The 15,261-nt window shown below is 43.7% G+C and overlaps 2 pseudogenes, besides 1 other annotated feature; one reads left to right on the top strand and one right to left on the bottom strand.

The window, feature by feature from the left end:
• Nucleotides 1-1,066: 1,066 nt before the first annotated feature.
• ZSWIM5P1 (zinc finger SWIM-type containing 5 pseudogene 1) lies at nt 1,067-3,973 on the bottom strand (annotated as a pseudogene).
• Nucleotides 1,322-1,822: an enhancer, noted in NCBI's record as "H3K27ac hESC enhancer chr17:15672089-15672589 (GRCh37/hg19 assembly coordinates)". NCBI's record gives its function as "activates a minimal SCP1, AML or CMV promoter by ChIP-STARR-seq in primed H9 embryonic stem cells {active_cell/tissue: H9 hESC(primed)}" and the evidence as "EXISTENCE:reporter gene assay evidence [ECO:0000049][PMID:30033119]".
• On the top strand, nt 14,888-15,002 carry RNA5SP436 (RNA, 5S ribosomal pseudogene 436; annotated as a pseudogene).

The following is a 15,261-nucleotide window of genomic DNA, read 5'->3' on the forward strand; positions in this document are numbered from 1 at the left end:
AAGAGAAATCTCGCAAAAAGGACACATTCATGCAGATCCTCAAAGATGGACACGCAGTCATCCCTACATGTAGAAATATGCTCAGTTACACATATAAAAACACAGATGCATGGAGAGCAAGCATACACACAGACACATATCTCTACACATGCACTCCTGTGTGCCCAGATACACACACACTAGACATGCAAAACATGACAGCATTTACACATAGATATGCACCCTCACATGTGTGCAAATGTTACATCCTCACACAGAGACCCACATTCCAGTGTGCACATATCCACACAGGTACACAGCCATAGAACTGACATACGTACACATCAACATATAATGTGCACATACAGACAGGCACGCGCAGATATATCTATGCACATAGACACATGTACTCAGTCATGCACATACACACACTCTCTAACACAAAGGTGACCAGTGTAGATGAATATTGTGAGCTCAGTGGCTTCCCAGACCTTCATCTTTTCCCTGCTCTTGTTTCAAAGGTGCTCAGCAGACTCCTGGCGAGGCTGTGTGAGGCAGGGGCAGGACCTTCAGAGTCCTCACAGCTTTGTGAGGCAAAAGTCTGAGTCCAGTCCTGGCCTCTGCCGCTCACCCACCACTGGGCTATTAATGCCCTGTCTGTAGGCGAGAGATTCTGCATAGACTAGTCTTGGGATTTTTTTCTAACTGGCCATTTTTCTCCTTGGCACACCCACTATCCCGCTGGTAACGGCACACACTCTGCAAGGGAAACCTGAGAAATGGTTGTGAGTCTCCTCGGACAATAAGCATACCCTCCCACCCACAGCTACCTCAAGTGCCCAGCAAATCAGAACCAAAATTATAAATACTTACGACTTTACAGTAATTGGCAACACATATACTATAGTACTTACAGTACCATAAATGCATCTGTTTCTCTGGTGAAGCAATCTCTGAGATGGAACAGTGTTCTGTGTTTGCCAAGGGAGACAGGGCCAATGCCCAGGACACTCAGGACGTAGGGGCAGAAGGTGGCATATCGTGGGGGTTTCTGGTGGATCTGCAAGGCCCAGCTTCTCCACAAACAGTGGGCTGTAGTGAGAAGCTTGCCAAGGTATGCATATCGACTGGAGTTGGACTCTCCCCATCCTTAGCCCTGTGGTCCTTTGGCCTCAGCCACAGGTGCTCAGATCCTCCCAGGGTGGACAAATGTTTCAGTGTTTTTGGCCTGACCTGATACTACCTGGGGACCCAGGCTGCCGGGCCAGTGAGCTATCTGCTTTCTCAGCCAAAGGGCTCTCGAACCAGCAGCATCAGCTTTTTCTTGCCTTTGTAGATCGTTTGTGGTTGTTGATGAACAGGGCAAATTGCAGGTAGCCATCCTAAGGCAGCAGGAGGGTCTCCCGAGCCTTGCTTAGAAACTCAATGAACTGTCCACACTGGCAATGGCTAATGTGTGTTAGGTGTAGTGTGTGGTGTTGATGTAAGCATTGCATCAGCAACTGGTGCCATGGAGCTCTGTCAGTGGAGATGAGCTTTCCAGAGCTGTGGTGGCCCGGGGTGCCGGCCAGGCCAGGTGCAGTCACCGTGCAGCCTCGCACACAGGATGTCTGAAAGCACCATGGCAATGTGCGCACTCTTCACCACCAGGGGGATGAGAACTGCCAGCTCATTCTTGCCCAGAGAGTGGCTGAGGGCACAAACCCAGAGCACATCACTGATGGCTGGGTGGGTATCCTGGTTATGAGCCAGGTGAAGATGGCTCATGGCCAATGAGACCAGCTGGAAGGCGTGGAGCATGTAGCCCCGGAGCTCCACGTAGCAGGCAATGGTGAACAGCTGTGAATGGGTCATGCCACCGGCAGCAGCCTCGGTGGCAATCTGGCAGGCTGCCTCAAAGGCAATGTGGTCTTTCTCACAGAGTGTAAGGGCTGACAGGGCACAGCTCTGTGGATGCTTCGTAGCACACTGCAGGGCCAGTGTGCAAGCACAGCTAGCCAGTTCCTCCCGCTGTGGATAGTCAAGACTGAGGCGCAGGATAGTGGTGTGGGATACGGCTGTGGCAGCTACAATACTAGCAGCCTCAGTAGGGGTGAAGAGTGTGTGCCAGCTCTGCAAGATGCTCCCTGAGGCCCACACACCTGTCGGGGAGAGCCTGAGCTCAGCCGTGGCCATCTCAGTCCTGATTCAGGTCAGCCCAGATTACCGTGTGGGGTTTGAACTTGGCCTGCAGAGATGAGTTCTCCCTCCTCCTCAGCAACCTTGACACGATCTGAGGCAAACCAGGGCAAGAGAAGCATCCCAGATGGCCAAACCTTGTTTGGGGTCTCTTCCTATCCCTTCCTTACCCAGGTCAGAGGGTTGAAGGTTTCTGCAGGTGCTCTCAGCCCCTCACAAGGATGGAGCAGTAGATCCTGGGGTTTGCTTAACCCGAGGCCAGGGTTGCAGATCTGCCAGGGGTTCTAGCTGAAGTGGGGCCTGTCAGGGTAGAGTCTTGTGCTGGGGCTTTGGGCTTTAGAAAGGGTCCTGAGCCTCCAAGGTGTCTGGAGTTTCTCACAAGCATGGACAGGGACAGGGACCAAACCACCAGGCCCACTACCTCCCAAGGGCACACTTGAGTATTGGCAGCTGAAAATTCATTCTCTTAGACATGTCTCTGATGAGAGGGTCAAAGTGCTGCTGACATCGCATGTGGTTGGTTTAAGCAGTGAGGACAGAACTTGGGCTGGCTGAACAGAGGCTATCTTCTCCCACCAGCAGCCGCATCCTTTCTTAGGCCATCAGGAATAGGAATATGAGAGCTCCAAGGATTCGTTGTCCTGTCCCAAGAGTAGGGTATAGAAACTCCTTTCCCGTGGGAGTAGAGGGAGGTGGGCGATACCCACTTCTGTAGCACAGGTCACCAACCATCGTACCATCTCTCCGCGTCTCCAGTTAAGGGATGATAAGGTCATCGCATCACCTGTAACCCAGTTTCCAGCGCCACGTTGAGCAGGGTGCTGTCAGTACTACTGTTAGTGGGAGTAGCAATCTTGAACGCATTTTGGGCCAGTTTGAAGATGAGCGGGGAAGAACGAATGTGCTTCTGCATTGCTTCCAGAATTGTTCAGAGCCTCAGAGTGTCTCCTTTGGCAGCAGTCAGCATGGTGGAGGCCAGTTCCCACCGCTGTGATTCCAAGTGTCCAAGCGAGAACCAGGGAGGATAATGGCTGGGCACCAGAGACACCATACAGTGAGTGAGGGATGTGTGGCCTGCACAACCTGAATTTTCTAAAACAGGTAACCTTATACACGTAAGCCTAATTTATAGGCAGGGTCTGGATCACGAGACAGCAGAGCTGAGAACAAATACTTGGCAGAGGTATGCATGGAAACGCTCTCTCGGTGGATGACTTCTCCCAGATCCCTGAAAGGGCCCCCTTCCAGCAGCAAGATGCGCTATTTTTGGAGTGTTTGCACTGGGTCATCATCCAATTGCAGCTCTTGGAGTTGGCTGAGGAGCTGCTCCTCATTACGGCACACCTTGTCCTGTGCATAGGAGCCTTCAGGCATTACCCTCTGTGACCCAGGCCCATCGATGCAGCCTCCAGGGCCAATGACAAGTAGGACTCACTGCTGTTTGGGGAGCTTACAGCCACAGGTACATGTTGGTACACAGGGGGTCTGCTTTCATTCGTCTCTAGATACCTGTCATCATTCAGGAGGCAGGCCTCAGTCAAAGTGAGAAACAGGCAGCCGATGGGATCCAGGGGGTGGCCCACCCAGCCTTCCAGGTTTGTGATGGTTGTGGTTCCTCTCTGCAGCACTTCTTTCTTCTGATGCTTGTAGATTTTCAGTTGCCACCGCTGCTGAACCTCAGAGTATTAATAATGGCCACTGTGAGTCTGAGGGCCTCTTTTGGATAACCATGGGAATGTGGGGCATCAACCCGAGCACAGGCTGTTGCACATGCTCAAACCACAGTGGCTGGCCTTGGGAATTAAAGAGTAGTCTTGGCCAGGCATGGTGGCTCATGACTGTAATCCCAGCATTTTGGGAGGCCGAGGTGGGCGGATCATGAGGTCAGGAGATCAAGACCAACCTGGCCAACGTGGAGAAACCCCGTCTCTGCTAAAAATACAAACAATTTAGCTGGGCGTGGTGGCGGGCCCCTATAGTCCCAGCTACTCGGGAGGCTGAGGCAAGAGAATGGCGTGAACCCGGGAAGCGGAGCTTGCAGTGAGCCGAGATGGTGCCATTGCACTCTAGCCTGGGCGACAGAGTGAGACTCCGTCTCAAAAAAAAAAAAAAAATAAAATAATTAGCTGGGCATGGCGGCACGTGCCTGTAATCCCAGCTATTCGGGAGGCTGAGGCAAGAGAATTGCTTGAACTCGGGAGGTGGAGGTTGCAGTGGGCCCAGATCGCACCACTGCACTCCAGCCTGGCAACAGAGCTACTAGACTGTCTCAAAAAAAAAAATATTGCACAGATCCCTGAAAATACAATTATATAGATATTCTTTTTTGTTTTGTTTTGTTTTGGCTTGGTTTTTTGAGATGAAGTTTCGCTCTTGCGCCCAGCCTGGAGCAGTGGCGCGTTCTCGGCTCACTGCAACATCCACCTCCCGGGTGGATTCTCCCACCTCAGCCTTTCAACCAAGAAGCTACTTTTTGTTTGTTTGTTTGGTTGGTTGGTTGGTTGGTTGGTTGGTTGGTTGGTTGGTTGTTGAGACAGAGCTTTGCTCTTGTCGCCCAGGCGGGAGTGCAATGGTAAGTTCTCGGCTCACTGCAACATCCGACTCCAGGCTTCAAGCGATTCTCCCGCCTCAGCCTCCCGAGTAGCTGGGATTACAGGCTCCCACCAGCAAGCCCGGCTAATTTTTTTGTATTTTTAGTAGAGACAGGTTTTCATGATGTTAGCCAGGCTGGTCTCAAACTCCTGACCTCAAGTGATCTGCCCGCCTTGGCCTCCCAAAGTGCTGGGATTGCAAGCATGAGCCACCGTGCCCAGCCTGATTATATACATTTTCAATAAACATATATGAAAATGGTCTCAGGCATTTTAATAATTAGAAGACCAAAATCAATAAAAATGTAATAACATTACCCACTAACCAGAATATATAAAAGAAAGACTGACAAAATCAGGTATTGGAAAGGACATCTAATTAGAATGCTCTTAAACTTGTGGTTGGGTTGTATATTAGTCAAAAAAATCTTTGGAATTAAAAAAATTAATTGATAAATTGTGTGTATTTGTGGTGTACCACATTATACATATATACACACACAGAGACACGCCTTGTAGAATAGTTAAATCTGTGTATATATATATAGCCACAGACATACATTATAGAATGGCTAAATCAACTGACATAGCATATCAGTTAGCTTAGATACTTATATTTTTTTTTTAATTTTTTTATTTTTAGATGGAGTCTCCCACTGTCACCCAGGCTAGAGTGCAATGGTGCAATCTCGGCTCACTGCAACCTCTGCCTCCCAGGTTCAAGCGATTCTCCTGTCTCAGCCTCCTGAGTGGCTGGGATAACAGGCGCCTGCCACCACGCTCGACTAATTTTTGTATTTTTAGTAGAGATGGGGTTTCACCATCTTGGCAAGCTTCTGACCTCGTGATGCACCCACCTCGGCCTCCCAAAGTGCTGGGATTACAGGCATGAGCCACTGTGCCTGGCCAATCAATACTTATTTTTGTGTGTGTGTTTGGTGAGAACATTTAAAATCTGCTGTCTTAGCAATTTCAAATATTACCACTTTTTTTTTTTTTTTTTTGAGACGGAGGCTCACTCTGTCTCCCAGGTTGGAGTGCAGTGTCACAATCTCGGCTCACTGTAAGCTCCGCTTCCCAGGTTCACGCCATTCTCCTCCCTCAGCCTTCCGAGTAGCTGGGACTACAGGAGCCCACCACCACGCCTGGCTAATTTTTTGTATTTTTAGTAGAGACGGGGTTTCACTGTGTTAGCCAGGATGGTCTCGATCTCCTGACCTCGTGATCCACCCGCCTCGGCCTCCCAGAGCCTGGGATTACAGGCATGAGCCACCGCACCCGGCCACCACATTGTTATTAACTATAGTCAACATGTTGTACAATAGAGCTCTTGAGCTTTTTCCTCCTAGTTGACATTTTCAGTGACATGCACTGCATTTGAACACATGCAGTTACTATGACCAAGCGATTTTATCTGTAGGGCTGTACTTAACTAAAATATACATGTGTACCAAAAGAAATTAACAAGAATGTTCGTAGTGGCTTTATTGCTAACAGCCCCAAACTGGAAACAAACCAATGTCCATCAACAGTAGAATTAATAGATGTGCCATATTCATTCAGAGCACCACCGAGCAGGGAATAGAAATGAACTGCTTCATGAAACCACATGAAGGAGTGTCACAAATGTAATGCTGGGCCAAAGAAGCCACACACAAAACCATTCCTACTGAATGGCCCTCCATGCATCCATTTATGAAACAAGCAACACTAATTGGGGCTGCTAAAATCCAGGTGACTCTTTGCTTTGACAAGACAGGTGGGCAGTGGTTAGGGAGCAGACCTTCAGGAGAGGGATTTCCAGATTGTTATTTTTATTTCATTTTCTTGGACTGTGTGGTAGCTCCAAGCATGTGTCCTCTTTGTGATAAATTACTGAGCAGTAGAATAACAGGATACCTGTGTATATTATACTTTAGTAAATGTATTTGAATTCATTTTTGCCATTAGGACAAAAATATATTATATCTGTGAATTTTAAGTATATATTTATTAAATATTGACAAATGTATGTCAGTGTAATACAAATCTCTATGAATATCTACAATATTTGTCCACATATGTTTTGTCTTATCCCCTCTCTTTTTTTCTTCTGGGATTCCAATTAGGTATAATAGATATATGTTGGACCTTTTGATATGGTTCTGTGGGTCTCTGAGACTATCTTTTTTCAAGTATCTTTTTTCTCTCTTCTTTAAATTCAATAATACTGATCTTTTTTCAAGTTCACTGTCTCTTCTTCTGTTATCTTCATTCTGCAGTTAAACCTATTGATGAATTTTTTAATTTAGACATTGCATTTTTTTTAGTTCTAGAGTTTATAGTTCATTGCTATAGTTTTCCTCTACTGCAATTTCTGATTTTTACATTATTGCAAACCTAGATAGATTCGGCCTTTAACCACATAGATTCTGCCATTAACATTACTTACTACACTTGCTTTATCAAATATCCATCCTCCTATCCATTCTTCTATCCATTATTAATCCTCCTTTTGGGGGGAATGAATTTCAGAGTAAATTGAAGACACCAATAAATATTTCCTTCTGAATACTTAAACATATATATCATTTATTGGACTTCAATGATCTCTTTACAGTTTTCTTCTGACATCAATTTTATGCACAATGAGCTCCCCAAGTGAATATTTGTTGAATTTTGTGTATATTTGTGAATTTTAAGTGTATATTTATTAAATATTGACATATGTATGTTGGTGTAATACAAATCTCTATGAAGATCTACAGTATTTGTCCACATGTATTTTGTCTTATCCCCTCTCTTTTCTTCTTCTGGGATTCCAATTAGGTATAATAGGTATATGTTGGACCTTTTGATATGGTTCTGTGGGTCTCTGAGACAATTTTTTTTCTAGTATCTTTTTTCTCTCTTCTTTAGGGTCAATAATATTGATCTTTTTTCAAGTTCACTGTCTCTTCTTCTGTTATCTTCATTCTGCAGTTAAGCCTAGTGATGAATTTTTTATTTAGACATTGCATTTTTTAGTTCTAGAGTTTACAGTTCATTGTTATAGTTTTCCTCTACTGCAATCTCTGATTTTTACATTATTGTAAACCTATTTTCTTTCATGTATGTGAGCTTTAAAATCTTTGTCTGCTAATTTCAGCATTTAGGTCATCTGGGTTTGGATTCTGTGGATAGTCTTTTTTCTTGAAAAGGGATCACATTTTCTTGTTTCTTTGTATATGGAGTAATTTGGGGTTGGATTCTTGATATCAGTATCAAAAATATTGAATGTTACGTTGTGGAGGCTCTAGGTTCAGTTACATTCCTCTGAGAAGGTTCTTTCCTTCCTCCCTCTCTTCTTTCCTCCCTCCCTTCCTCCTTCCCTTTCTCCTTTCCTTCCTGATATGGTTTGGATATTTGTCCCCTCCAAATCTCATGTGTTTCCCAATGTTGGAGGTGGGGCCTGATGGGAGGTGATTGGATCACAGGGCAGATCCCTCATGAATGACTTAGCACCATCGCCTTGATTCAAAGTGAGTTTCTCGCTCTGAGTTCCTATGAGATCTGGTTTTTTAAAAGAGCATGGCACCTCCCCTGTGCATCTCTTGCTCCTGCTGTGACCAGGTGATGTGCCTGCTCCCCCTTTGACTTTGGCCACGAGTGTAAGCTTCCTGAGGCCCTTACGAGAAGCAGATGCTGGCACTATGCTTCCTGTGCACTCTGCAAAACTGTGAGCAAATGAAACCACAGTTTTTTATAAATTACCCAGCTTCAGGTATTCCTTTATTGTGATGCAAACAGACTAACACAACTCTGTCCCCTTCTTTCCTTTCTTTCTTCCTCCCTTCTACCAAACAAGTAAGTTGGTTGGACTTAAACTACAAATTTTGTCTTGGGTGGTAGTTCAGAGATCAGCCAGATATTTGAACAGGCTTTATTTACAGAATTTGGGAATCTCTCCTTTCCAGGAATCCCCACCTTACTTTTCTGCAGCTCTGATTTCCCTGAACTCTACGCTGTGGTTCTTCAGGCCAGAAAGACTGAGTTTTCTATTGGAGCTTTATATACCCTGTGTGGTGCCAACTTTGATGTGTACTCAGGCTAAAAGTCAGTAAAAATACATAACTCACTTTGTGCCATTACCTTTTTCCCAAGAGTCAACTCCTGTCCGGATCTGTATTACTTTTCTTTACTCTTCCTTGCCTAAAGGATTTTTATTTGCTTGTTTTGTTTTAGTTTTGGTCTAGAGTTTATTGTTATCTCCAAGAGAGTTGGGTCTGGCAGGAGTGATTATCTTTTTTAATTTCAATTTTAATTTTAATTTTAATTTTTTTGTTTTGAGACAGAGTTTTGCTTTGTCACTCAGGCTGGAGTGCCGTGGCATGGTCTGCGCTCCCTGCAATTTCTACCTCCTGGGTTCAAAGAATTCTCGTGCCTCAGCCTCCTGAGTAGCTGGGACAACAGCCACGCACCACCATCCCCAGATAATTTTTGTAATTTTTAAGAGTAGAGATGAGGTTTCACCATGTTGGCCAGGCTGGTGTCAAATTTCTGTCCTCAAGCAGCTCACTTGCCTTGGCTTCCTAAAGTGCTGGGATTACAGATGTGAACCACTGCGCCCAGCCAAATTTTAATTACTTAAAGAAAGAAGAAAATATGAACCCAGTGTCTGGCCTACCATCTTATTTTGTGCATATCAATAGTACTTCTCAAAAAATAGTTTTTGAAAGTTCTGGCTCACAGAATGCCCAATCAATTGATCTTTGTCTTTTTTTCATACTTGTTAACAATGTTGGGATCAAACCATGCAGTCTTATAATCTGTTTTATCCACATAATATATTGTGACCATTTCATGTTTGTTGCTTTTTGATGACTTCATAGTATTTCTTCATATGGATATACCATAATTCATACAACAAATTTTCTATTTTTAGGTAATTTTGAGTTTTTAATGTATTATTATCAGAAAAAAGGTAATAAATATCTTCCTGGCAATATGTGATAGCTTTTCTTATGTCCTTCATGTTGCACTCACTAAAAAGCATTGCCTTTTAAGTTGAATGAGGGAGAAACTGGTTAACTCTTAAATCATAGGTTATATATTAGAGAGAAAATTACTTTTATTAGAGTCAAGAAAGTAAGGTGGTACCTCATTATAAAGAAGCTAAATACGTGTATGTATGTATGCATATGTGAATAATGGGTTGAGATAGAGAAGATTTTGAGAGGATAGGGCAGACTGCTATCAATGACTAACATTGTCTTTCAAGAATAGTCATGAATCATTTAACAATGGGGATATGTTCTGAGAAATGTGTTGCTAAGCTATTCCATCATTGCATGGACAGTATAGAGGCACTTAACACAAACCTAGATGGTTTAGCCTACTAAGCACTTAGGCTATATGGATATAGCCTAAGCTATCACATATTGTAGCTCCTAGGCTACAAACCTATACAGTATGTTACTATACTGAATACTGTAGGCAGTTATAACACAATGGAAAGTGTTAGTGTATCTAAATATATCTCAACATAGAAAAGGTACAGTAAAAATATGGTATAAAAGATGATACACCTTCTATTACTCTGTTTTCACACTGTGGATAAAGACATGGCTGAGACTGGGTAATTTATGATGAAAAGAGGTTTAATGGGTTCACAGTTCCATGTGGCTGGAGAGGTCTCACAAACATGGTGGAAGGCGAAAGGCACATCTGACATGGCAGCAGGTGAGAGAGAATGAGAGTGAAGACAAAGGGGAAGCCCCTTATAAAACCATCAGATCTTGTGAGACTTATTCACTACTACAAGAACAGTATGGGGAAAACTGCCCCCGTGACTCGGTTATCTCCTACCACGTCCCTCCCACAACATGTGGGAATTCTGGGAGCAACAATTCAAGATGAGATTTGGGTGGGGACACAGCCAAACCATATCATTCTTCCCCAGTCCCTCCCAAATCTCATGTCCTCACTTTTGAAAACCAATCATGCCTTCCCAACAGTCCCCCAAAGTCTTAACTCATTTCATCATTAACTTAAAAGTCCTCAGTCCAAAGTCTCATCTGAGACAAGGCAAGTCCCTTCCACCTATGAGCCTGCAAAATCAAAAGTGAGTTAGTTACTTCCTAGATACAGAGGGGGTAAAGGCATTGGATAAATACACCATTCCAAATGGGAGAAATTGGCCAAAATGAAGGGGCTAAAGGCCTCATGCATGTCCGAAGTCCAGGGGGGCAGTCAAATCTTTTTTTTTTTTTTTTTTTTTTTTTTTTGTGAGATGGAGTCTCACTCTGTCACCCAGGCTGGAGTGCAGTGGTGCGATCTCGGCTCACTGCAAGCTCCATCTCCCAGGTTCACGCCATTCTCCTGCCTCAGCCTCCTGAGTAGCTGGGACTACAGGTGCCCACCACCACACCTGGCTAATTTTTTGTATTTTTAGTAGAGACAGGGTTTCACTGTGTTAGCCAGGATGGTCTCAATCCCCTGACCTCGTGATCCACCTGCCTCAGCCTCCCAAAGTGCTGGGATTACAGGTTTGAGCCAGGGCAGCCAAATCTTAAAGCACCAAATTCATCTCCTTTGACTCCATATCTTGCATCCAGGTCACACTGATGCAAGAGGTGCGTTTTCATGGTCTTGGGCAGCTCCACCCACGTGGCTTTGCTCCTGGTTGCTTTCACGGGCTGGCGTTGAGTCTCTGCGGCTTTTCCAGATGCACGGTGCAAGCTGTTGGTGGATCTACCATTCTGGGGTCTGGAAGATGGTGGCTCTCACAGCTCCACTAAGGCAGTGCCCCAGTGGGGACTCTGTGTTTGGTCTTCAACCTCACCTTTCCCTTTTGCACTGCCCTAGCAGAAGTTCTCTATGAGGCCCCTACCCCTGCAGCAAACATCTGCCTGGACATCCAGGCATTTCCACACATTCTCTGAAATCTAAGCAGAGGTTCCCAAACCTCAATTTTTGACTTCTGTGTACCCACAGGCTCAACACCACATGGAAGGTGCTAAGGCTTGGGGCTTGCACCCTCTGAAGCCATGGTCCAAGCCATACCTTGGCCTCTTTTGTCCATGGCTAGAGTGGCTGAGATGTCCCTAGGCTGCACACAGCAGGGGGGCCCTGGGCCCAGCCCACAGACCCATTTTTTCCTCCTAGGCCTCTGGGCCCATGATGGGAGTGGCTGCTGCAAAGTTCTTCGACATGCCCTGGAGACATTTTCCCCATTGTCCTGTTGATTAACATTTGGCTCCTTGTCACTTATGCAAATTTCTGCAGCTGGCTTGAATTTCTCCTCAGAAAATGGGTTTTTTTTTTTTCTATTGCATTGTCAGGCTGCAAATTTTTTGAACTTCTGTCCCCTGTTTCTGTTTTAAAACTGAGTGCTTTTAACAGCACCCAAATCACCTCTTGAATGCTTTGTTGCTTAGAAATTTCTTCTGCCAGACGCCCTCAATTATCTCCCTCAAGTTCAAGGTTCCACAAATTTCTAGGGCAGGGACAAAATGCCACCAGTCTCTTTGCTAAAACATAGCAAGAGTTGCTTTTACTTCATGTCCCAACAAGTTCCTTATCTCCGCCTAAGATCACCTCAGCCTGGATTATATTGTCCACATGATTATCAGCATTTTGGTCAAAGCCATTCAGCAAGTCTCTAGGAAGTTCTAAACTTTCCCACATCTTCCTGTCTTCTTCTGAGCCCTCCAAACAGTTCCAGATTCAGCCTGTTATCCAGTTCCAAAATCACTTTCACATTTTGGGTATCTTTATATCAGCACTCCACTCCTGGCACCAATTTACTGTATTACTCCTTTTTCATGATGCTGATAAAGACATATCTGGGACTGGATAATTTATGATGCAAAAGACGTTTCATGGACTCACGGTTCCACTTGGCTGGGGAGGCCTCACAATCATGGCAGAAGGTGAAAGGCACATCTTACATGGTGGCAGGCAAGAGAGAATGAGAGCCAAGTGAAAGGGGATACCCCTTATAAAACCATCAGATCGTGTGAGACTTATTCATTACCACAAGAACAGTGTAGGGGAAACTGCCTCCATGATTCAATTTTCTCCCACTGGCTCCTCCCACAACACTTGGGAATTATGGCAGCCACAGTTGAAGATGAGATTTGGGTAGGAACACAGTCAAACCATATCACACCTGTTTTGGGCATTTACCATGAATGGAGCTTGCAGGGCAGTAAGTTGTTTTGGGTGAGTCAGTGAGTAAGTAATGAGTGAATGTGAAGCCTAGGACATCACTGTATATATACTATTGTGGACTTTATAAACACTCTATACTTAGGATACACTAAATTTACTGAATATATTTTTGTTCCTTCAATAATAAATCTTAGCTTACTGTAACTTTTTTACTTTATAATCTTTTAAATATTCTTAAACTTTTAGACTCTTTTGTAATAACACTTGGCTTAAAACACCAAACAACAGTGTATAGCTATCCAAAAATAATTTATGTCCTTACTGTATAAGCTTTTTTCTATTAAAAAGTTCTTTTTTTTACTTTTTAAACTTTTTTGTTAAAAACTAAGACCCAAACATACACATTAGCCTAGGCCTACATATCTTGATGACAACCATCGCGATGTCACTAGGCGATAGGAACTTTTCAGCTTCATTATATTCATATGGCACCACTGTCGTATATGTGGTCCATAGTTAACCACAACATTGTTATATGGAGAATTATGATAATTTAAACCTTTGAAGAATTTAGTTTTATGTCTATATATTATTCCCAATGTGATCACTAACCTTGAAAGGAATTTGAGCTATGTTTTATCATTTTTAAATTATGAGACACAATACACATAGAAAAATCCACAAAACAAAAATATACAGCTCAGTAATTTATTACAAAGCGGAACACCTGTGTAGGTATCACCTAGGTAAAGAAAGAGTATTACTAGTAACCCAATAGCCTCTCTCTTTTTCTTTGCCTTTCAGTCATTCTAGAGTAATCAGTATCACAATTGTTATAATCATAACTCTCTTGCTTTTCTTCAACCACCACCCTGACTTCTGTCTCCATAAACGACTTTTGCCTGGTTTTTTTTTTTTTTTTTTGAGACGGAGTCTCGCTCTGTCGCCCAGGCTGGAGTGCAGTGGTGCAATCTCTGCTCACTGCAAGCTCCGCCTCCCGGGTTCATGCCATTCTCCTGCCTCAGCCTCTGGAGCAGCTGGGACTACAGGCGCCTGCCACCAAGCCCGGCTAATTTTTTTTGTACTTTTAGTAGAGACGGGGTTTCACCCTGTTAGCCCTGTTAGCCAGGATGGTCTCAATCTCCTGACCTCGTGATCCACCCGCCTCGGCCTCCCAAAGTGCTGGGATTGCTGGCGTGAGCCACAGCGCCCGGCCTGCTTTTCTTACTTCTTACCACTTAAGCGCATATCCCTGAATGTTGTAGTTTAAGTTTTTCTGTTTTCTGAACTTTATATAAAATAAACAACATATTCAGTCTATGTCTTCCGTTTATGGGTTTTTTTCATTCAACATTATGTTTTTGAGATTGATTCAAGTAATTGTCAGTAGTTCTAGTTTGTTTCTATACCTGTACAGTAAGTGTATATTACAATTTTTCCTGTGGTGTACAATGACGTGGTGTACAGTAGTGTTTCTGTATGGCATACTGTAAGGTATTTTTATGTAGTAAGTATATACGACTACTTATTTTACTGTTGATAGGATTTGGGGTTTTTTTCTAATTTGGGGGCTACTATGGGTAAGAACACTTATGAACATTCTTATATATATCTCCTGGTGCACATGTACAAGTATTTCCATTGTGTATATGTTCACAATGGCTTGGTGAGTCATAGAGTATAAATATCTTGAGCTTTAGTAGAAATTGCCAAACTCTTTTCCATAGTGATTATTATCAATTCACATTTCCACTAGCAGAGTATGATTGTTTACATTCCTGTACTTTTTTGCCAACACTTGCTATTTTCAGTCTTTGTAGTTTTAACCATTCTGGTGAGTATATAGTGATATTTCCTTGGGTTTTCGACTTTTTTCTCATGACTAATGAGATTGATAGTCTCTCTTCTGAAGTGCCTGTTTAAGTCTTAAGCCAATTTATATATAGGCTGGTCTGTCTTTTTCTTATTGATTTGTAGGAGTTCCTTATGTATTCTGGATATGAGCCCTTTATGGCCATACCACCCTGAATGTGTCTGATTTCAGAAGCTAAGCAGGGTCTAGCCTGGTTAGTACTTGGATGCATATGAGCCCTTCATCAGTTACGCTTGTTGCTCTATCTTCTTTCCCTCTGTGGGTTAACTTAAATAGTCTTTTGGCAAATGCGAATTTTAAACTTTCACGTAGTTCAGTTTATTAAAATATTTCTATGATTAGCCCAGGTGCTCATGCCTGTAATCCCAGCACTTTGGGAGACCAAGGCAGATGGATCACTTGAGGTCAGGCGTTCAAGACCAGGCTGGCCAACATGGTGAAACCCCGTTTCTACTAAAAATACAAAAACTTAGCCAGGCAAGGTGGCGGGCACCTGTAATCCCAGTT

The sequence above is a fragment of the Homo sapiens genome, chromosome 17 (genome assembly GCF_000001405.40).
Source record: "Homo sapiens chromosome 17, GRCh38.p14 Primary Assembly".
Lineage (NCBI taxonomy): Eukaryota > Metazoa > Chordata > Mammalia > Primates > Hominidae > Homo > Homo sapiens.